This window comes from Homo sapiens, chromosome 17, assembly GCF_000001405.40.
Source record: "Homo sapiens chromosome 17, GRCh38.p14 Primary Assembly".
Classification (NCBI taxonomy): domain Eukaryota; kingdom Metazoa; phylum Chordata; class Mammalia; order Primates; family Hominidae; genus Homo; species Homo sapiens.
In genome coordinates this window covers 30,548,569-30,567,625 of record NC_000017.11, presented here as the reverse complement: position 1 = coordinate 30,567,625, position 19,057 = coordinate 30,548,569, and the positions used below count along the sequence as shown (strand labels likewise).

At 54.4% G+C, this 19,057-nt stretch overlaps 2 pseudogenes across 1 annotated transcript, besides 3 other annotated features; both read right to left on the bottom strand.

Annotated features, from left to right (window-relative positions):
• Positions 529 to 1,123: an enhancer, noted in NCBI's record as "H3K4me1 hESC enhancer chr17:28893521-28894115 (GRCh37/hg19 assembly coordinates)". NCBI's record gives its function as "activates a minimal SCP1, AML or CMV promoter by ChIP-STARR-seq in naive H9 embryonic stem cells {active_cell/tissue: H9 hESC(naive)}" and the evidence as "EXISTENCE:reporter gene assay evidence [ECO:0000049][PMID:30033119]".
• Positions 1,124 to 1,719: an enhancer, noted in NCBI's record as "H3K4me1 hESC enhancer chr17:28892925-28893520 (GRCh37/hg19 assembly coordinates)". NCBI's record gives its function as "activates a minimal SCP1, AML or CMV promoter by ChIP-STARR-seq in naive H9 embryonic stem cells {active_cell/tissue: H9 hESC(naive)}" and the evidence as "EXISTENCE:reporter gene assay evidence [ECO:0000049][PMID:30033119]".
• Positions 4,133 to 8,060, bottom strand: TBC1D29P (TBC1 domain family member 29, pseudogene; annotated as a pseudogene). The gene is made up of 5 exons (NR_172920.1): positions 7,900 to 8,060; positions 7,444 to 7,509; positions 6,910 to 7,009; positions 4,709 to 4,757; positions 4,133 to 4,426 (listed from the first exon to the last, which is right to left on the bottom strand). The product of NR_172920.1 is annotated as a TBC1 domain family member 29, pseudogene (transcript).
• Positions 8,703 to 11,281, bottom strand: LOC100420311 (TBC1 domain family member 3 pseudogene; annotated as a pseudogene).
• Positions 16,078 to 16,608: an enhancer, noted in NCBI's record as "H3K4me1 hESC enhancer chr17:28878036-28878566 (GRCh37/hg19 assembly coordinates)". NCBI's record gives its function as "activates a minimal SCP1, AML or CMV promoter by ChIP-STARR-seq in primed H9 embryonic stem cells {active_cell/tissue: H9 hESC(primed)}" and the evidence as "EXISTENCE:reporter gene assay evidence [ECO:0000049][PMID:30033119]".

The window sequence follows — 19,057 nt, the reverse complement described above, 5'->3', positions numbered from 1 at the left end:
CCATTAGCACTGAGGATTGATACTCAGGAAAAGATCAAATGAGAGAGACGCTGTCTGGTCTGATGGGGGTGGGCCAGGGAACTGGTCCTTACCTTGGAGATCCTAGTCTGATGGAGACAGGTCCCAGCTCTGGAGATTGTCATCTGATGGGAAGACAGGAACATGGTCTCATGATCTTTGTTCTTGACAGCTTTCGGATGAGCAAAAGCAGTCCTGTCTCTGGGGACTCTAGCCTGATGGGAGATAGGGACATGGTCCTTGTCCTCCAAATTCCAGTCTGATGGAGAAGACATGATCCTAGCCCCAGGGTTTGTAGTCTAATGGAGGAGATAGGGGCCTGGTTTTTGTCTTGGTGATCCCAGTCTGATGGGGGAGATGGGAGCAAATCTATGTCCTGGAGACTGCAGAGAAATGGAGACGGATTTCATGGAGTCTACATGGCTCCTCCCTGGCAGGACACACTGGGTCAGAATCAAATAACCCATCTGGGGAGGCAAGACTCACACAGGGCCACCGGCAGAGGGATGGGATGGAGGGAGGCGGTGGCAGGGACAGGAGGGATGTGTGTGCAGTGTGATGTCGAGGTGCCAGAGGCAGTGGTTGCCAGGGGTGGTGGGGAGACTTGAGTGACTTTGTCCAAGGACCCCAAGTGGGCCCAGGATGCTGGGGACGTGTGCCTGGGCTGGATTGGGGACCCAGCTATGGGACTCAAGGAGGGACTCACAGTTCGTCCACACACTCCCTGCCCACTGCACAGAATGTTTCAACTCCTGTCATCAAGGCAGAAGCTGCGGATATGTGGTTGCCCTATGGAGCTGCCACACCTGGTCTCATGTGATGGACACACACATAGGACTCTCAGGCCAGGCCCATGCCAGTGGTAGCTGCCTCCAGACCCCCCTTGCAGGGGTTGACCTGGCAGCATGTCTTGTAGGGAGACGGATGTGGTGGGGGACACTCATCTATGGCATGACATCGCTCTGTGTCTGGTTTGTACTGAGTCCAGGGGAAGGAGGAGACAGCAGTCCTGACTCCGTGAGACAGTGCCTGCCCCATGGGGACCTGAAGGAGTGACAACAGTCCCTCAGCCCTTATGCAGTGTGGGTCTCTTGTGGCAACCCAGGTTTTGGGGAAATGAGGGGAACAGAGGGAGCAGAGCCAGGCAGGTCTCCCCCCATGCACAGAGCCGAGGGGATAACTGAGCTTGACAGAGTCCCGTCCTCACCCTGAGCTGTAGTGACCATTTGAAGAAACATCCCTGAGAGAGGCCCACTCTTTCTCCCACACCCCCCTGGGGTTGACAGCCTTCCCTGGAGGCACCAGCTTCCTGCTCACATTCCTGGGGTGGGGGCAATGGGAGCCCCTCTTGGGGGTTTCCCGAGACTCACACAGGAGTCTGGGCCCCTTGTTTGTGCAGAATAGGCACCCCAAGTGGGCCCAGGCTGCTGAGGACATGTGCCTGGGCTGGACTGGGGAGCCAGCTATGGGACTCATGGAGGGACTCACAGTTCGTCCACACCCACCCTGCCCACCGCACAGAATGTTTCACCCCGTCATCAAGGCAGAAGCTGAAGATCTGTGGTTGGATTGTGAAGGGCTATGACAGCCCCACCTTCAGAAGGGGGTATCAAACATGCAGGAGGTGAGAGGACCCCCGAAGGTGGCCTGGCACTCACAGATTTCCCCAGATCCCGGGAGCTGTCACAGGGGCAGAGCCTGGGCCTGGACATTCGTTCTCCCCCAGGGACTCTGCTCCCTCTGTTTCTCTGCAGGACCCCAGTACCCCATCGTGGCCTGATACTAGTGTATTGGGATTGTCTTTACCAGCTTCTCCCCTCAGAAGACTATGTCTCCAGGGCTTCTCTGTCTTCTTTGAGTCTGAGTGCCCAGCACAATGCCAGGCACATAGTAGGTGCTTTATAAACACCTGCTCATAAACATAACGCTAGCCACCAGCCTTTGCCAGGTGCTTTATTTATTTGGCCTCTAATCCCCTAATTTGCCTGTGAGGCAGGGCTGTTATTCCCATTTCCCAGAGAAGGAAACTGAGGCTCAGAGAGGCTGAATGTCCTGCCCAAGGTTTTGCCCCTGCTTGCCCCGATTCCAGGCTGCTTTGTCCTGGCTCAGTGGGGCTCTACTTTTCCTTCCTCCTGCCCTGAAGCCTGTGGCTCTGGCTTGTCCACCCGGAGCTGGGGGCCCTGCAGAAGCCCCCTCTCTCCCCTCAGCTTCTCTGCCCCCCTCCTCAGCCCCCCTAAGCTGCCTCTTGCCTTCCCAGCCTGAGTTGGCTGGGGAGCTTGTAAAACAGCCCCACCAGCAGGCTTATCCTGAGCGGTGCTGATGCGGGAGTTGGAGCAGGGCTGCGAATCTTCTTTGGGACTCTGATGATCTGTCTGGTTGGAGAGTCACTGCAAGCCAAGATGTGGCATTGGCCAATGGTGTTTCCCAGCTGCCTCAGGTATGCCATGATCTCATGCCTCATGCTTGACATGGGCAGGATGAAGGAGGGAGGAAGGAGGCAGGGTGCAGGGAGGAATCCTCTGCCTGGAGGATGCCCACCGGGCTTCTCTGTGCTCGCCAGGCTTATTGGTCCTGGATCTTGGCCACCTTGGGGCAGGTGTGCATCACTGGTGCAGAGGAAATGCCTCCTCCTCCTCTGTCAACTCAGATCCTCTGAGGCCCTGCTGGTGCCTCTCTCTGCTAGGACCCTTTCAGGGATCAAGGCCAGGAGGGCAGCCCCCTGAGGGCAGCCCCCGCTGAGGCTCAGCGGGGTAATGCCTACCCCAGCTGCCTCCTGTGATGTGGGCGTGGCAGGCAAGCCCAGCACCCCAGGCTTTCTAGCCAGGTTCTGTATTTTCCAGCATTAGTTTTCCCTCCAGGGTCAAATGATAAGTTCTTATAAGGTCTGAGGCTGTGTCATCATCTCCCTCTTCACCCCCAGCCCCCGAGAGCTGTGCACACAGCAGGTGCGTGATCTGTGGTGTTGGCTGAGCAGTTTGGTGCGTTGGTCAGCAACTTCCTGCAGCTTCTCAGCCCATGCATATCCTCAGTTCTGCAGTGCTGGGCTTGTGTATAATCCCGCCCAGACATCTCCTGGAATGGGGAACTTGGCGGGGGGCAGTGAGCCAATGAGAAAGGGGTGTGTGTGCACGCACACACGATGGGGGCAGAGAGTGAAGAGTTCTCAGAGACTCCACTTCGAGAGTTGGTGTGAATCCTGGCTTGGGAGTTAGAGCTGGCTCGAGTCTCTGCTCTCTCACTTTTGTGCTGCTTAACCTGGATAAGGCTTTTGCCCTCTCCGGTTGGGGTATTGATAGCCTTTGGTGACCTTGAAGACCATTTTCAGTTCTGAGGGTGATGGGTCTGTGGTTGGACCGGAACTCCAGGCCCACCCTGACACCTGAACACTGAGGTTTTTGTCCAAGATTCCGGGGTCCCCTTTGCCCCTCTTTGGGGTGGCGGTGGCGGTGGGGAAAAAAAGAGAGATCAGACTATTACTGTGTCTATGTAGAAAGAAGTAGACGTAAGAGACTCCATTTTGTTCTGTACTAAGAAAAATTCTTCTGCCTTGAGATGCTGTTAATCTGTAACCCTACCCCTAACCCTGTGCTCACAGAAACATGTGCTGTGTTCACTCAAGGTTTAATGGATTTAGGGCTATGCAGCATGTGCTTTGTTGAGCAAATGCTTGAAGGCAGCATGCTTCTTAAAAGTCATCACCACTCCCTAATCTCAAGTACCCAGGGACACAAAACACTGTGGAAGGCCACAAGGACCTCTGCCTAGAAAAGCCAGGAATTGTCCAAGGTTTCTCCCCCAAGTGATAGTCTGAAATATGGCCTCATGGGAAGGGAGAGACCTGACCGTCCCCCAGCCCAACACCCGTAAAGGGTCTGTGCTGAGGAGGATTAGTAAAAGAGGAAGGAATGCCTCTTTGCAGTTGAGATAAGAGGAAGGCATCTGTCTCCTGCTTGTCCCTGGGCAATGGAATGTTTCGGTGTAAAACCCGATTGTATATTCCATCTACTGAGATAGGAGAAAACTGCCTTAGGGCTGGAGGTGAGACATGCTGGAGGCAATACTGCTCTTTAATGCACCGAGATGTTTATATATGTGCACATCAAAGCACAGCACCTTTTCCTTAACCTTGTTTATGACACAGAGACATTTGTTCATGTTTTCCTGCTGACCCTCACCCCACTATTACCCTATTATCCTGCCACATCTCCCTCTCCGAGATGGTAGAGATGGTAGAGATAATGAGACACTGATTCCCTTGTCTCCCCGGCTCAAGGCTTGTTGTCCTGGCACCCTTGGAGGAGTCTGCAGGAGTGAGGGGCCTCTGCTGCTCTCTGAGGCTGTCAGCGCTTGCAGGGAGGAGTGGAGGCTCTCACAAATGGGTCTGGCTCTTCCAGTGCCCTTGAGGGCCCTGTGAGGGGGAGAACAGGCTACCGTGGGAAGTGGGAGGGGGCTTGTTGGAGGGTCTTGCCCACATCCCCCTCCTGCATGCACAGCACGTCCAGTACACACGCACTGAGCGCCTGCCCTGAGGAATGGTGGGCCTCCTGTACTTTCTTAGAGTCCAGGAGGAAGAGGAAGAAGAGAAGCTGAAGAGGAAGACCCAGGTAGTAGGGATGGGGTTCCTGGGCACTCCCCTAGTATTGACTGCCCCAGAAGGTGACTCAGGAAGGGACCTGGTACTGGAGCCCACCTGGGGGTGGCAGGTCCCCATGTTTCCTTGTTAGTTTCTTCATAGAGGCCTGAAGATGATTAAGAACAGTGTCATCCACTGACAAATGGAAGAACATTCCATGCTCATTGATAGGAAGAAACAATATTGTGGAAATGGCCATACTGCCCAAGGTAATTTATAGATTCGATGCCATCCCCATCAAGCTACCAATGACTTTCTTCACAGAATTGGAAAAAACTACTTTAAAGTTCATATGGAACCAAAAAAGGGCCCGCATTGCCAAGACAATCCTAAGCCAAAAGAACAAAGCTGGAAGCATCATGCTACCTGACTTCAAACTGTACTGCAAGGCTATAGTAACAAAAACAGCATGGTACTGGTACCAAAACAGAGATATAGACCAATGGAACAGAACGGAGCCCTCAGAAATAATACCACACATCTACAACCATCTGATCTTTGACAAACTTGACAAAAACAAGAAATGGGGAAAGGATTCCCTATTTAAAAAATGGTGCTGGGAAAACTGGCTAGCCATATGTAGAAAGCTGAAACTGGACCCCTTCCTTACACCTTATACAAAAATTAATTCAAGATGGATTAAAGACTTACATGTTAGACCTAAAACCATAAAAACCCTAGAAGAAAACCTAGGCATTACCATTCAGGACATAGGCATGGGCAAGGACTTCATGTCTAAAACACCAAAAGCAATGGCAACAAAAGCCAAAATTGACAAATAGGATCTCATTAAATTAAAGAGCTTCTGCACAGCAAAATAAACTACCATCAGAGTGAACAGGCAACCTACAGAATGGGAGAAAATTTTTGCAATCTACTCATCTGACAAAGGGCTAATATCCAGAATCTACAAAGAACTCAAACAAATTTACAAGAAAAAAACAACCCCATCAACAAGTGGGTGAAGGATATGGACACTTCTCAAAAGAAGACATTTATGCAGCCAAAAGACACATGAAAATATGCTCATCATCACTGCCCATCAGAGAAATGCAAATCAAAACCACAATGAGATACCATCTCACACCAGTTAGGATGGCGATCATTAAAAAGTCAGGAAACAACAGGTGCTGGAGAGGATGTGGAGAAATAGGAACACTTTTACACTGTTGGTGGGACTGTAAACTAGTTCAACCATTGTGGAAGACAGTGTGGCGATTCTTCAAGGATCTAGAACTAGAAATACCATTTGACCCAGACATCCCATTACTGGGTATATACCCAAAGGATTATAAATCACGCTGCTATAAAGACACATGCACACATATGTTTATTGTGGCACTATTCACAATAGCAAAGTCTTGGAACCAACCCAAATGTCCATCAATGATATACTGGATTAAGAAAATGTGGCACATATACAGCCATAAAAATGTGGCACATATACAGCCATAAAAAAGGATGAGTTCATGTCCTTTGTAGGGACATGGCTGAAGCTGGAAACCATCATTCTCAGCAAACTATTGCAAGGACCAAAAAGCAAACACTGCCTGTTCTCACTCATAGGTGGGAATTGAACAATGAGAACACTTGGACACAGGAAGGGGAACATCACACACCAGGGCCTGTCATGGGGTGGGGGGAGGGGGGAGGGATAGCATTAGGAGATATACCTAATGTAAATGACGAGTTAATGGGTGCAGCACACCAACATGGCACATGTATACATATGTAACAAACCTGCACGTTGTGCACATGTACCCTAGAACTTCAAGTATTAAAAAAAAAAAAAAAAAAAGAACAGTGTCATCATCCAGGGCCCAGGTATGGAAGAACTGGTTTTGAAAACGTGCCCACAGGCCAGACCTGGACATCTTCATGTGGCGCTCTAGGGACAAGGTGGGCATCAGGCCAGGAGAGTTCCCTGGGAAGGGTCAGAGCCCACACCCTGTGACCACTTCAGTCTCCCACTGGGCAGTGCCAGATCCTTTTGTGGCCACCCCAGGGGTCCAGATGTGCACAGAAGGCTGTGGCTGGTTGGGGGGGCCTGGGCAGGGAAGTGCTCACCACACTCCTGACTTTCATCTGGGTCATGTGAGGGATGGGCTCGGTGTCACTGTGCCCTGCCCAGCCCACCTGGCCAGACCTCCCCCTTGGCCAGAACAGGATCATGAGGACAGTGTGAGGAAGCTGCCCTTAGGCTAGTCGGGGTCTGACCCCAGTGCTCCCCAGGCCCCACTGGGCACACGTGGACTTACTCCTTTGAACCTTAAAGGCAATGCTTGTTATCAGCATCAACATCTGTTCCCCTTCCAGCAAATACATATCCCACAGGCACGGGGTGAGCCCGAGAGAGATCTGTGGGGAAAGTAGGCATGGGAGGACCTGGCCCTTCCAGGCTGGGGCTGGTGGCTCGAGCTAGCCCATTGGGGCTTCACTGACCTTCCCCATGAGGGTCACCCGACCCCTCCAGGAGGCTGGGTCAGACAAGGTCTTGCAGCTCCTTATGGGGGGGCACTCATTTCAGTGCAGAGAGGGGCTTGCCCAGGGCTTGAGGCTCCCCTGAGCCCTCCCTAGTTGGGTCCTGGCCCAGTCTGTCCATGAGGCTGGTCCTGAGCCCTGTCCTCTGCACTGGGATGAGCCCTCTTGGGCAGAGGGTCTTGCTTGTGTGTCCTTTGGGGATCTGCCTGAGCCTCCTGTGGACTGGGGTGAGCTGGACCCCCTGGCTGGGGAAGCAGGGCACTGCAGGGCAAGGAGGGTCCCTGAGCCAGGGTCTCCCTGTGCCTCCTTACCCCATCATTCAGCACCCGGAGAAGCCAGCTGAATGAGGAACCCTGTGTGCATAGACCTTCCTTGTCCTGATGGGAGGAACAGAGGTGCTCAGGGCCCCATGGGCTGCCCTAAAAACCTCCCTCTTCCAGGGCCCTCTGAAGACCCTTCCCCGAGTGCAGAACACTGGGCAGTGTCCCAGGCTCCCCGCAACATCTTCCCCTTCCGGCACTCCCGGTGGACACACTGCCCTTAGCCCTTCTCTGTGGGAGCAGGGCCCCCATCCCTGTGCCTCTGTCTCCTCCAGGGCTGGAAAGGAAACCCAACTCCCAGCCCATGGGGAACCCGACATCCCAGGTCAGGCCCTGGCTGGGACTCAGCCTGTCACCAGCCCCATGAGGGGCTGCAGCCCCCGCTGTTCCTCCAGCCCCCCAGGATGCAGGGCCTCTGGGGAAGAGCCGAGGGGACCATAAACTCACCAGATGCCCCATGGTCTTGGGTTGTGATGTGGGTACCACATGCTCCTGATGGTCTTGGAGCCCCTGAACTGTCCCGCCATTTGGGCTGTGGAATCCTGAGAAGCCCCCAGCCCGTCATGAAATCAGAGCCTTCCCCCAAGATGTGGAGCCATCAGCTGGAAGAGCTGGGCAGCTGCAGAGCCCCCCAGACCCCGAGGCCTCCCACCCTCCCATCTGGTGACCCCACCATGTGGCCTTGGCCCTGGGGAGGAGGGGTGGGAACATCCCCTGGAGCCTGGCTGGAGGTGCCCCTGGAGGCCTCCTGGGCCAGGGTGCCGGGAGGGCAAGCCTGACTTTGAGGCCACGACAGGGGGCGGCCAGAACAGGGTGGGTGCTGGGCTTTGTGGTCGTCTCCTGGAAGTGGGGCTGGGCCAAGGGACACGGGATGGGGAGATGCTGCCATCTGGGCTTGGTACCCTTTCGTGGGTACCAAGGGCAGCTGGAGCCTGAGCAACTGAAGGGCAGGAGGACTCTCAGGTTGCGGAGAGCCAGCTGCACAGAATCAGAGCCGGAGGGCGTGGCTCCAGGACACAGAGGGCAGCCACGGGGAGGATGAGATGCCTTCTGCTGATGGGGATGAAAGGCGTCTGACTTGGGCTCTGGGGGGTCAGTTCCGGGTTCCTTTGGGACCGTCAGCAGAGACGTCCTAAAGGCTCCCAACAAGCTGGCGACACAAGGAAGGTGCCTTGGCTGAAAGCCGAGATCACCTGGCCAGGGTGGCCATCCCCGGGTCTGGCTGCGTGAAGCCCCAGGGGCAGCTGTTCACCTACCCTGCAGGAGTGCCTCTCACTGGCCAGCAGCTGCACCAGTGCCCAGAATGTGTCCTCCTCAGGCAGATAAAGGAGGAACAAGGCAGCGATGTGGCTCAGGTCCCTGCAGTAGCCCACCACCTGCAACAGCCAGAGTCACCGTGGAAGTAAGTCACTTGGGAGGGCTGAGGTCACCTGGGAGGACTCATGTCATCGGAGAGGGCAGAGGTGACTGGGAAGGCTTCCTCTGAAGAAGAGACTTCCTCAGGATGCAAATTCATTTCATGACAAGAGCCATATCCATCGGGCACTTCAGCACCTTGTCCAAAATGTCTCCTGATAGCACCATTCTGTGTGTGATGCTGCCAAGCTCCCGGGCTTTGGGGCAGCCCCAGGAGGAGGGGCTTGTTCCGATAAGTGGTGGTCAGGCCCAGGTGACACCAGGAGTCCAGGCCCTGACTCCTCTGTGTCTCAGCTTGACCCCTTGAGACCACCCCCTTGCTGGAGGTTTATGCCAGCGGTGAGCTGGAATCCTACCTCCTATATCCTGGTGGGTCACAAATACTAACTTTAAAAGAAGCAACGACACTCCCACCAGACACCCACTCCTGTGAATATGGAAATACGGCCTGGGAACCTCACTGCCAGGAATACTCACTGGGTTATACTTCGAATATGCCAGGAGGATGTAGAATAGTTCCTGCTGCCTGGGAAACAGAGAAAGGGGGCTTTGGTTTGTGTTGTGCAGATGCTGTTAGTTTCACTTTGTCTACAAACCCTAACAACAAATCCCATTTCAGGTTCAGATGATTCACCAGATAAGCAGTGAGCTCTTCAGGGACTTTGACTGTTGAAGAAATGTTTCAGTAAAATCCACATCTGTGACATGCAAATAGCCCAGTTGTACAGTGACTTGCCTGATCCTTTTCACTCTGAATGATCTTTTTTTTTTCAGTTTGCACACACGCCAATTCAGTCTTTGGGTGTACAGGTCCTCCATGGTTCTAAACCAATGTGCAGAGTCTCCCGGCTACCACTCCAGCCCCTCCTGGAGCGACTCCTTCATCCTCCAAGTCTCCAGGGTGGCCCCTATGCACCCAGCCTCTCCCCGATCCGTCAGCCCCTGGCCACCCAGACTGCTTCTCAGTCCCTATGGTTTGGCCTTTTCCACAATGGCCTAAGAATGGGAATCCTACTTTGGTAGCTTATTGGGTCTGGCTTCTTTCCCTTAGCAAAATGCACCTAGGATCCACCCACGTTCATGCGGGCATCACTGGCTCGTTCCCTTTTCTCACTGGGTCTTCCGTTTGAAGGGAGGACCAGCCTTGTTCTCCCCATTCCCGTGTTGAAGGCCATCCCCGAAGGCTCCGTGTGTGAGTGACGAGGAATCAAGCAGTGAACCTGGCCTGCAGGTTTCATGTGGACGTCAGTTTTCAAATCAGTGGGTTCAATATCTGTGACACTTTGGGGACGCGTGGTTCAAGTCCATTGAACTTTGTGAGCCACTGCCCAACTGGCTGCCAAAGTGGCTGTGCCATGTCACGTTCCCAGCAGACCTGGATGACAGTTTCCAGGTCCCTGAATCTCCCCAGCTTTTGGTACTATCAGTGTTGCCTGGGGAGGCTTACGGGCCCTCCAACCTGCCACCCTCCCGAGGGTCCTACCATGGGTCCCCATGGGTCAGGGAGAGCACCTTTCACCATTGTGCATGATTTTGTTTGCTGCCGTCTGTCTCCTCAGGATCCTCTTGGGTTCTGGCCCCCCATGTTCCAGTCTGGCCCAGGGCTTGGAACCTGGGAGGTGCTCAGTCCATGGTGCCGCCTGCTCCCTGGACCAGGAGAGCTCTTGGCAGCTCTGTCATCCCTCCTGGGTGACCCTGGCTTCTGCTCCGGGGAAATCCCCATCCCTCTCATTCACCCCATCTCCGCTGGGACCCTGTGGCTCCCATAGGCTTACTTGGTTCCATATCGATCCCTGAAGAACATGTGGTTCCTTAGTGTCTGGCTCACAGCCAGGTCGATCTGGTGGATGTGCTCAGATGACCTCTTGCCCTTCTCCTTCATGACCTGTAGGGCAGGGCCAAGAGGAGGAAACAGCCTCAGAACAGATGGAAGACTCCCTGCCCCAAATGGCAGTCAGCCCACAGTCAGCACTTCGGGAAGGAAGGAAAGAAGGAAGGTTTCTTTCTGCAGAAAGCTGCTTTTTGGCTTGTTTCGGAAGCCAGGGAGGGTCACCAGAGCCGAGCTCACCTGTGGTGCCTGTGTCACTGTCCGTGCTCAGGATGTGCATCTGACCATCCCACCCACCCTCCAAAGCGGGGCTTGACGTTCCCTCCAGCTGGAGACCTGGGCCGCTGACACGGCCTGGCCTGTTTGTTGTGCTGTGGCTGAGCATACCCGGTATTGTCTGGGGTTTTTCGCCTTGATTTCCTGAATGTTCAGGAGGACTGACCACACCTCGGCCCGGACGTTCATGGGAATGCCCTTATACACTCGCTTCATCAGCTGTGGGCAGAAAACGATCTGGTGTCACAGGCCCCGCGACAACCCCAGCGAGAACCAGAGCCCGAGGATTCTGGAAATCTTTGATTTTGGCCCCATGATTCGTCAGGAGAGGTGATGTCAAGCTGGGACAGGGTCTCCCTTCCCAGGACTGAAAGAGGGGATGGACACTCAAAGTCTGAACTCTGATCTGGACCTTTTCCTTCCTTCAGGTCACCAGGAGGCTTCCCTAGCCCTGAGCTCCCGGTGGCCCCAGCCCTAGATATAGATTCTCTCTCAGCAAGGTGACGCTTGCATGAACAGGCAGCAAAGCTGGCAACCAGGCCTGCGGTCCTCTAGGTGAGGACAGTGTGCCACCTGCCCTCTGAGAGGCTTACGCTGCCAGGTCATAGCCATGGGTGCCTGTGCCCTGTTTCTGCAGAAAGTGATTCTGGGGGCCTCTCCCTCCACACATGACCTTTTTGCTGTTCTGATATGTCTCCCATTTTCCCAGCATTGCCATCCACTTGCTCTTGCGTCTCATCTCCTGCTGCATTTGCTGTCAAATGAGGAATGTTGGAGTTAGCGGAGCTACCAGGCTTCCCGGAGCCGTCCCTGGATGCTGGGTCTTGGGCTCTGGAGCCCTGGTGGGACCCAGCTAGAAAAAGCCAGGGAAGGGCAGACCCTAAGGGCTGAGAGCCTTTGAGCGAATGAGCACCAGTGGGCTGGCCTTGGGACCCTGGGACGTGCCATCCTCAGGCCACAGACACACCAGTCGTAGGTCAGAGCCCAGCCTCTAGGTGGGGTCCTAACACAAGTGGGCAGCCATCCCCAAGCCAGGACTGTGGTTCTCACTTTGGAATTTCATCAAACTGCCAGAGATACAGCAACCTGAGGTCAGGTCCAGCAGGGATTGCTACCCCTCCCAGTGACAGCGTGTTATCCTCACTGGCCACCGCCCAGGCCCACTGCCTCCTCTGCTCATCAACAACCCGCCACGTCCCCCCGTCCCTGGACCAGGCTCTTACCTCTGCCTCCCGGGAGCTGACAGGGGGCAGCCTCTTCTCACTGTAAGGCAACCCAGGCAGAGCTGAGGACCTGCACAGGGCCTGGAGCCATCCGGGTCAGGGAGTCGACCTCCAGAAAGGACTGGCTCTGTCCCATCCAGCTCAGGTCTCAGCCCAGGAGAAGGCACAGGGAAAGGAGGACAAAGGCCTTCCTGTGGGGCTGACTCCCAGGAGGGGTCAGGACCTGGGAGAAGAGGGAGTGCAGAGCCAGCGTGGCCAAGGTTACTGGGGCCCCTGGTGTCGGGGGTGGTCAGGCTGCACAATGGGGCTGCCCATCCTGGACTCGAGGTGGTGCTTTCTGCTGGAGCTGAGAAAGGTCAGCCCTGAGATGGGATGGGGGCTGCCCAGGGTGGGTGACCGGGCCCTGACAGGAGTCCCTCAGGGAGTGACCACATGATGTGGACCCGCCAGGGTCTAGGGAGCCTGCCCTGAGACCTGCCCAGTGCACCCAGGGTGCGCCAGGGGCCCATCCCACCCGACATTCCCAAGGCCCTCGCAGGGTATGACCTCCCAGCATCCACCTGCCTCTCCCTGCACCTGAGCCACACGCCTTGCATTTCAGAAGTGGCATGGCTCATAAGCTTCCTCCCACCCTACCTCCCCCGAGGTCCTCCGTCTCTCCATCCTATGATCCCTGAGGGATGGGCTCCAGGCTGGGCTCCTTTTTTTTTTTTTTTTTTTTTTTTTGTGACGGTGTCTCCCTCTGTCATCCAGGCTGGAGTGCTGTGGCGTGATCTTGGCTCACTGCAAGCTCCGCCTCCAGGGTTCATGTCATTCCCCTGCCTCATCCTCCTGAGTAGCTGGGATTACAGGCATGCGCCACCACACCCAGCTAATTTTTTGTATTTTTAGTAAAGACAGGGTTTCACCATGTTAGCCAGGATGCTCTCGATCTCCTGACCTTGTGATCTGCCTGCCTCGGACTCCCAAAGTGCTGGGATTACAGGCGTGAGCGACTACACCTGGCCCTAGGCTCCTCTTACCTGGCCCCAGATCCCTTCCCAGCACCAGACCCAGGGTCATTAGCTGCAAGCTCTGCTGCCTCCCTGGCCTCTTTGTGAGATGCCCAGAACTTGGCCCTGCCCATCTTCTCCCCCATTCCCCTAAGGCCACAGCCCCTATGGTCCTCATGCCTTTCCCCCTTCCCCATGGGGACAGTGAGGGCTGTAGCTCTAGGGAAGTGGGGGAGAACAGGGGCAGTTGGGCCCCCAGAGACCTGCTGGACAACATCCCTGAGGCTGGGCCAGGTGTCTCCTCACCCTGTGGCCACAACCCTTGGATCTCACTGGGGTTGTCTCCTGGTAGACAGGGCCAGACCCTCAGGCTGCCCCGCTCCTTTTGTGCTCACTTGCCGACAGAACTGCTGAGAGCCCAGGGGCCTGACCTAGCCCCCTCTCCATTCCCACCCACTCCCTAGATGGGCCCCACACCTCTGGCCTAACAACAACCTCAGGCTGGACCTGCAGGGGAGCCAGGGAGGAGTTCTGACCCTGGAAAGGAGGTTGGCTCAACCTGGGGAGACATGTCCTGCGTCAGAAAGGCCTTTCTAAAAGCAAACCCATCCATGAGCTGAGACAGGTGATTTAGGGGCTGAGAGGAGCACAGAGGACTCACTGCAGAATCCCAAAGCGATCAATGTTTCCGTAGATTCCAACAGGCACAGGCCCCATGTCCTCTGGCAGTGCAGCTCAGTGTCCCTGTAACCCAGAGGGAGCCTTGGTGAGGGGTCCAAGGTAAAGGCTGAAAGGGCCTGGGGGTAGTGGCCACCCTGCACTGTGCTCCTAGGGAGCCCAGGACCATTTGACCAGGGTGCACTGGAAGAGGCCTCCCTCCAAGGAGTAGATGGATCTGTACCTTCTCATACTTCATAGTGATGTCCTCTCACTCCTCCAAAGTATCCGCGTCCTCTATCAGGTCCATCCTGTGAGACAAAAACATCTAAAGGTTACACTGTACCTGAGAGCTTCGGAGAACACCTGAACTGCTCCTGCCCGGCTCCCAGATGCTGCCTGGCTGCGTAACCCCCCATTCCACCACCGCCCTCAGGTGAAAAGGGGCTAGACCCAGTGGCCCACACCTGCATGGGTCTCTGGAGTCTCCAGCAGGGGTGTGCATCTTCCCAAGGACTTGAGGACAGTGGGACCTGGACAGAGAGTCCCATTGTCCCCAAATGCCATGAAATGGGCATACACCTGCCCCGGCAGTTTCAATGGTGTCCACCTGCCAAGGGTGAAGGGCCCATGATGGGCTATTCCAGGGATATGGAGGCAGACTGGGGACAGGGACCAGAGGTCTCTGGGATGCTCGGGACCACAGAGATGCTCAGTTTCCTACGGGGAACAAGGTCTCTCCTGAGTGCTCGGTTCTACTCTGCTCATCACTTGGGCTACCATGGCCCTTCAGTCTCACCAGTGAAGCCACTTTAGGAACAACAGGTTTAAGGAATGAAAATAAGCTACTGTGTCCAACGCAGCCTCTGTACTCATAGAAACCACATCTCTCGGGGAGGGACTGTGGACTCCACCATTCTGAGCTATCCATACAGGAGGGGGCTTCATTTTCCTGGGTCACGGAGGAAGAACAGTGGGTCTTTGGTCCTGGGGAACACCTAGATGGATCGTCCCTCCTGGGAACACTTGGAGCAAAAGGAGGGCAAGGCCTGGATAGGACCAGACAAAGAAATACCTGGGGACAACCCCAGTTCCTGGACCCCGTTGAACAGGATGGAAGATAGCCTCCCTCCAGCCAGCTCTCCAGGGCTCCTTCATTTTCCACAGCTGCCCAAAGGCAGAAGGCTCCCCATGCCACTCCCGGACAAGGGACCATGTGTGTTCAGTTGGTCCCACAGGGACCATCAGGACCCAGCTTAGGACACAGATGTGTTCTTAGGACCCTCCCCTCCACCCCACCCACAGTGGATCCATCCCAGTGGCTCTGCCAGGGCCAGGCTCTGCCCCATCGGGATCGGAAACCCTCGACAGATTTGGGATCTAGGGCAGGGAGACCACAGGGTTCAGGCCTTAAGTCCAGCCCAGCACAGGGCAGGGCTGAGAGCAAAACCCAGGGTCATGTCGGGATTCCCGGGTTGATTACCACTTCTCTGACCCCAGACGTCTCAGTTGTCAAATGGGTACATTTGGGAACAGCACCTACCCTATGGAGGCACCATGAGGACGAAAGAGACAATTGTCTACACGGGCAGTGTAGAACGGGCACCCGGTGAGTGCTCAGGGATGACCCTCCTCAGCAGGTGCCCAGAGGCCAACATCGCCCACCCCGTAGCCACTGTCCCCAAGTCAGCCTGCAGGGAAGAGAGCAGGTCACACTCACCTGATTCTGAAGAATCAGCTGGCCTGGGTCATGCCTCTCAGGGAGAAAACCTTTGAGTCCACAGAGCCACTCACAGATACCACTGTCTGTGTGTAGCTGCTGTAGAACACAGAGGCAAGCCGGGGAGCAGCAGGTGCTAAGCACCAGTGACATTCTGAGGTCATGGCACGCATCACAATGGGGCCTTGCCCGGGTCAGCAGGGCCCAGAGTCAGTATCCACTGCCTGAGGCGTCAACATGCCTGCCTGCAGCGTATACACTCTGGGGTGAGGAAAGGAGCCCGGCCTCTCCAGCAGCTGCACAGGCCTGCAGTAGGATGGAGGTGAAGCTGGCCTTGTGGATCACTTGGGCCTCATGAGGGGAAAAGAAAGACCAGGGGGCAGAGGAGGAGCATGGGGGCAGCTGGTGGCCTAAGGAGAAGGCACTTCAGGGAAGGGGTCTGTGTTAGTTTGTTTTCACATTGCTATAAAGAAATACCTGAGACTGGATAATTTATAAAGGAAAGAGGCTTAACTGACTCGCAGTTCAGGAAACTTACAATCATGGCGGAAGGTGAAGGGGAAGCAGGCATCTTCTTCACAAGGTGGCAGGAGGGAGTAAGTGGAGAACAAGGAAGTGCCACACTTTAAAACCATCAGCTTTCCTGAGAATTCACTCACTATCAGGGGAGCAGCACGGGAGGAAACTGTCCCCAAATCCAATCCCCTCCCACCAGGTTCCTCCCTTGACACAGGAGGATTACAATTCCAGATGAGATTTGAGTGGGGACACAGAGCCAAACCTGTGAGGGTCTCAGTCTGTCTTGCAGCTCCCCTGGGGCTGAGGCTGAGTGCAAATCTGCTGGCCCTGCTCTACAGCACGCAGGGTCTCTGCCAGTGCACCCCATCTGCTGCTTCCTGGGAGTGGTGGCTACTTCCTCAAAAGGAGGGTGGATCTGCTCTCCTGTGCACTCCCCCTACCCCCGAGGGACTTGTGGAGCCCTGGCCACATCCTCCCAGGGTAAGGGCATGAAACTGGGCTCCTTGCCCTTCTTACTGCTTGGGTGACAAGCCTGGGGTCATCCCTAGGCCGCGTCACTGCCCCTGCTTCTAAATGGAGAGCATTTTGCCAAACCTTCCTGGGAGAGGCTGGGGGCTCATCCCTGTTGTCTGTTCCATCTTGGTAAAGCCAGGTTAAGACATCTGGGTAAGCAGACAGTAGAGTGGCACCCAGGAAGGGTGGGTGGAGGGCGCTGGCATTTAGGCTTGCCTGGACCATGGTGGGAGGGGGAAGGTTACCAGGAAGCAGTGCTGTCAGGGCTAAAGTCAGGAGGAGGTGGTTATGCTGGTGAGGCAGGGGTGTGGCTGGCTTGCGGTGGGGCATAAATGAGAGCCAAGGTTTGTCAGCATGCAGAAGAGGCAGCTGACTCATCCCTAGGGGCTGCGGAGGAGGTCGGGTCACTCTTGATCCCAGTTCCCAGTGAAAACTGGAGGTTGCCATCACCTAACCACACATGCAATAAAGTCTTCTGCCTGCTGCTTACAGCCCCCGAGAACCTTCTCCGAGAGAATAAAACCTTTGACTGCTGCTCTTCCTGAGTGGATTTTGTTTGTGTCTTCTGATGAACTGTGATGTCCCGTCTATCATTTTCCCAGGCTCAAGGATCCACCAAAAGTTGACGCCTCTTTTGGGGAGGCTCTGCAGTGCCTTCTTCTCACCAGGCTCCCCGGGAAGCTTGTGAACTTGGCTTGCACCCTAAGCAGCCAGGTACACGCAGGGGCTCTGCTTCTTGCTTTCACTAAGAGAGAGAGCCAAGAAAGAGACTGAAGCATGGTCTGCAGAGAAGACACTGGTGCAAACGCCAGGAGAACGAGGGGCCTGAGTCATCTTCATTCCCCTTAAAAACACGCATTCCCTCCCAGGCCACCTTAGGGCATGAAGCACAGTGAGAGTGTGTGTGTGTGTGTGAGTGTGTGTGTGTGCAGGTATATGCACGTGTATTTATGTGCATGTGTGCGTGTGTGTGCGTTCATGTGCATGCACGTATGCATGTGTACATGTCTGCTTGCATGTGTGCATGCGTGTGTGGTGCAGGGATATGAGGTGGACAGGATGTCGGAGGGCAGCTCCAGCTCCAAGCTGCACGTTTCTCTGTTAGAATGGTTTAGATTCCCTGGACCACAGCAAGAGAGTGTTTTCACGTGCATCCATTTTTCTTAGCATTGAAACCCATATTTTTAGCAGCATGTAAACCTTAATTTGCTTAACTATTCTTAGAAGCATTTATACCGGTGGTCCCCAACCTTTTTGGTCCCAGAGACCAGTTTCATGGAAGACTTTTCCACGGACCCGGGAGAAGGGGAAAGGATGATGCGGAGATGATTCAAGCCCATTACATTTATTGTGCACTTTATTTCTATTATTATTTCACTGTAATATATAATGAAATAATTATACCATTCACCATAATGTAGAATAAGTAGGAACACTGAGCTTGTTTTCCTGCAACTAGATGGTCCCATCTGGGGGTGATGGGAGACAGTGACAGATCATCAGGCATTAGATTTCATAAGGAGCACACAACCTAGATCCCTGGCATGCGCAGTTCACAGTAGGGTTCATGCTCCTATGAGAATCTAATGGCACCACTCATCTGACAGGAGACACAGCTCATGTGGTAATGCAAGGGATGGGGAGCGGCTGTTTCTACAGATGAAGCTTTGCTCACTGGCTGGCTGCTCACCTCCTGCTGTGCAGCCTGGTTCCAAACAGGAGGGAACCCGTGATTTATCCAGTAAGATAAATCCATTATGTAAGTTGACATTATTCACTCTGCACCACCCAAAATTATCTTGCATACCTACACACACCCAAGGGTCCGACAGCACACTTTGGGAGCTGTAGACAGTAAGCCTGGAGGTCCATTGCGAATTCCATCTCTTCACCCTGTAGGCTAATAGGCTATGTTAGTTTCCTAGGGCTGTTTTACAGTACCACAGACTGGGCACCTTCAACAACAGAATCTTACTGTCTCACAGTACTGGAGGCCATGAGTCCAAGATCAAAGTGTCAGCAGGGTGGGTTTCTTCTGAGGCTGTGCAGGAAGGTTCTGTTCCAGGCCTGTCTCCTGGCATGTCGGTGGCTCCCAGTCTCTAAAAAACAAACAAAAAAAAAAGAATATGGAAAGGAAAGGTCATTCTGATGAAGTCTCAGATGGAAATCAAGAAGAGGTAAATGGAAACTGGAGGAAAGGTGAGTGACGCTTGCCATAAAGTGGCAAAGCACTAGTGTTTGGTGGAAGGCAGAACTTGTGAGTGATGTAACTGAAATTTGGCAGAAGAAATATCTCAGCAAAGTATTGAAGGAGCGGCTTGATTGTCTTGAACGTTTATAGGAAAATGAAAGAAAAAGAGGAATGATTTAGAGACAGAACTTATAATCAAAAGGGAAGCAGAACTTAAAGATTTGGGAAACTTTTAGCCTTCTCAGCCTGCCCGTTTTGAACAGATAAGAA